This window comes from Homo sapiens, chromosome 12, assembly GCF_000001405.40.
Source record: "Homo sapiens chromosome 12, GRCh38.p14 Primary Assembly".
In the NCBI taxonomy this organism is placed as follows: domain Eukaryota; kingdom Metazoa; phylum Chordata; class Mammalia; order Primates; family Hominidae; genus Homo; species Homo sapiens.
In genome coordinates this window covers 59,811,682-59,815,026 of record NC_000012.12, presented here as the reverse complement: position 1 = coordinate 59,815,026, position 3,345 = coordinate 59,811,682, and the positions used below count along the sequence as shown (strand labels likewise).

Below are 3,345 nucleotides of genomic sequence, written 5' to 3'. Positions count from 1 at the left end.
ATAATAATTTTCCCTAGCCAAGCTTAAAACCAGGCACCTCGAAAGTTGATAAGCAACGTCCCCCTACCCTACTTTATTCCTTCTTGGCTCTTTCCTCTTGACAGCTGTCACATATTCATCAGGTTAAAGTATAATTATCAAATTAATTCCATGGATTATTTTTCCACCTGTGTTTCTTGTGTCTTAGGCTGGGACAGCCCTTGGGTCTATGAGAGATTCAGATGTTATCTCTATTTCTATCATGGCCTGCAGTAGACTTTGGTGATTTAAGTTAGGTTAGAATATTGCCAGTCAGACTTTTATAAATTTTTACTTATAACAAGCCAGACTGATGATTTTCATAAGACATGCTTCAGTGCCCAACCGTATGACTGCAAGGCACAGGACAGATTTCAGAGAAACTCCTTTAGCTTTCTAAATGATGTGACTTCATTTCTTTCTCAGGACACACAGAAAATAATCTTCCATTTTGTTTTAGTTGCTTTCCAGCAACTCTACAGTTTAATTAATTTCTCACATAGCTTTAAAATGTGACAAAGTCTAATCACTCCCAATTGTCTGTGCTGCCTCAGGGAGTGCAGCAGGGATTAAAGGGAAATAGTCACAGGTGATGTCCTCCTCTACTGCTCTCTCTCACCTCAGCCACCTCCTGCCTATATCCTGTTGATTTAAAGTAATAAGGATTTTCTCCCACAGTGTGTTCCCTTCTTCTTCTTCTACATTTTTTTTTTTTTTTGGAAGGGGAGGAGGTCCTTAGCAGGAAGAAGTGTTTTATGGCTAATTCTACTAGGTAAAAAAGATACAATCACTCTCTCTCCTCTGAGGGCAAACGAAAAGGTGTTATTTAAATAACCACTTATCAATTTCATCATTAGAGATAAGAAGATGAAAGATAAGATAATGATAATAATTTCCCCCTTTTCAAGTTACATTTATATTTCCTTTGGATTAATCTGTAAATTCAATCATTTTGTTTTAAAAAAGGAAGGAATGCTAATATCAGGTAGCAATCAGCTTCCTAAAGTTTTTAATTGGTTACAATTGGAATAAATTGAACTTAATATTTCATATTTGTCATAGAAATAAAAGTAAAATACTATAATTGTGTCCCAAAACCTGCAGCATCTGTATAAATGAAGAAGATGTGGTTTAATAGAATCCAACATGAAGATGAATTAGGTTTCCTCTAATGAACAATGTGATATGTACATCTAAGAGGCTAATGTGACCTTATGCTACCATTAATGGCAGTAGAGTGCCCAGAAGAAATGATGTGATAGTTCAACAGCTTTGCACTTTTAAGGAATTCTGCCCCATTCTGGAGACATGTTCTTTCCAACTGATTATAATGTTGAGATTACTTTTTTTTTCTACTTTTATTTTAGGTTCAGAAGGTATATGTGCTGGTTTGTTACATGGGTAAATTGCGTGTTATTGAGGTTTGGTGTATTAATGATTCCGTCACCAAGGTAGGTGAGCATAGGTAGGTGAGCATACCCAGTAGGTGGCATTCCAGCCCACACACCCATCTCACCTTCCCCCACTCAAGCAGTCTCCAGTGTCTCTTGTTCCCATTAAGAGGACTTTAAATAAAATAATAAATATTTTTTAAAAATTTAAAATATGAAAAATAATATTTATGAGATGGGATGGGATACAAAGAATATTATAGTTTATTTACTTGAAGGACAATTTAATGAGAAGTTATTCTTATCTTGCTATCAAGCACTCCTCATGCCGACATGTTAATTAAGTTCAATTCATGTTTATTGAGTGTCTACCCTATTCCTGGCAACATGATGGGATTGAGAACTAGAAACTGATCCCAGTTTTGGCTCTCTTCATTTGCTGTTATATGACCCTGAGAAAGTATTTTACTTTTTTGTATTTCATGTTTCTGAGCTGCAGTATTCTCAACTGTAATATGGGCATGATAATACCTATTTCAAAGGGTGGTGCCAAGTATTAAATTAGGTAATGTATGGAATGTAACAGAGTCCAGCTCGTAACAAGATCCAGCTATGTATTTCTAAGTATTGTTCGTTTTGTATTAGTAGTCAACGTATTTAGCAGATCCCTAGTGGAATGAACTAGGACCAAAGGGTAAAAATTGCTGACATATTTCTTTTTTTTTAATGGAGATTTTTTTTCTTTATTGAGAAACGTAATACTTGGGTACATGAAATAAAACCAATTTCTTGGGGGACAAATCAAAACCCACAATAGAAAAAAAAAAGTTCACACTGGGCCACAGCAGAACCCCAAGAACATATTCGTATAATTGAAAAATTCTAGGCGCTTCATATTCGACCTTTTGATACAAAATGACCTATTAAATTTGCAATTTGTAGTTCTTGGTTTTGAGGTCCACAGGACAAGCTAGGAAGTCTACAAACCTTGAGCTGAACTCCATGAGGGGTTATTTGGCTTTTGAATCGGTTTTTCCTTGTCTAAGAGGTAGCAGCAGCAACAGCGCCCACTTTCTGGGCAGCTTCTTTCTTGGCATGATGAGCCTGTAGAACTGCTACAGCTTCATCCACCTTGGAATGGAGAGACTCGGGGAACTCTAACATGTGCAGCAGCTCAGAGTTGTGGATCTCCAGCAGCATTCCCGTGATCTTCCCAGCCAGGTTTGAATGCATTGTTTGGATGAGTGGGAACAAGCGTTCTCCCAGCATCTGCTTCTGTTCCTGGGGGTGTGCTGCGGCCAGCATGGAGGTAGTCAGTGGCTCCTGTCCCTGCACTTGGACCTCAGGCTGGGGTGCATGCAGGCGCTGTACTGCAAGATGAGAGCTGCGAACACTGGAGGCGTATTTGTAGCGGGCAACAGCCCCAGCCCGGGGAGCAGCAGCGGCAACAGCCGCGAACAGCAGCGCGCTGCGCTGAGTTCTGCACAGCTGTGGGAACGCCTCCAGACTGGCAGCTGCTGACATATTTCTATTCAAATAAGCAATAACTTTGTGTTTCCCCAATTTTAAATGGTTTTTAAGCATATTTTAGTTTACAGATGCCTTGGAAATTCTGATAAAAGACATGAGTCTCCTTTCCATATATGTTCCTGCGTAAATAAACACAATCATATGCATACAATTTTGTTAAATGTTTCTGGAGATAGATTGGCTCATTAACATTCTTCCATTAGTTTTTGTCTTCAATAGGTAAAAATTAAATCAAATTGGTAAAATTAGAAATTTTACAAGGAAGGGTGAGGAATGCTCTTCTGTTGAATAAAAGATAGTATTCAAAAATCATCTATGTCAGGAATGCTAATATTGTGCTTTCTATCTCTCTAGGTGACAATGTGATAAAGATAATAGAGAAGAGATTGAATATGTTATCTCAAGT

At 38.0% G+C, this 3,345-nt stretch overlaps 1 protein-coding gene across 1 annotated transcript; it reads right to left on the bottom strand.

Annotated features, from left to right (window-relative positions):
* Positions 1–2,408: 2,408 nt before the first annotated feature.
* On the bottom strand, positions 2,409–2,933 carry LOC100996696 (polyadenylate-binding protein 4-like). Its single transcript, XM_047429976.1, has one exon. It carries the CDS (start codon positions 2,931–2,933, stop codon positions 2,451–2,453), a length of 483 nt encoding a protein of 160 aa, XP_047285932.1. The 3' UTR covers positions 2,409–2,450.
* Between the last annotated feature and the right edge of the window lie 412 nt (positions 2,934–3,345).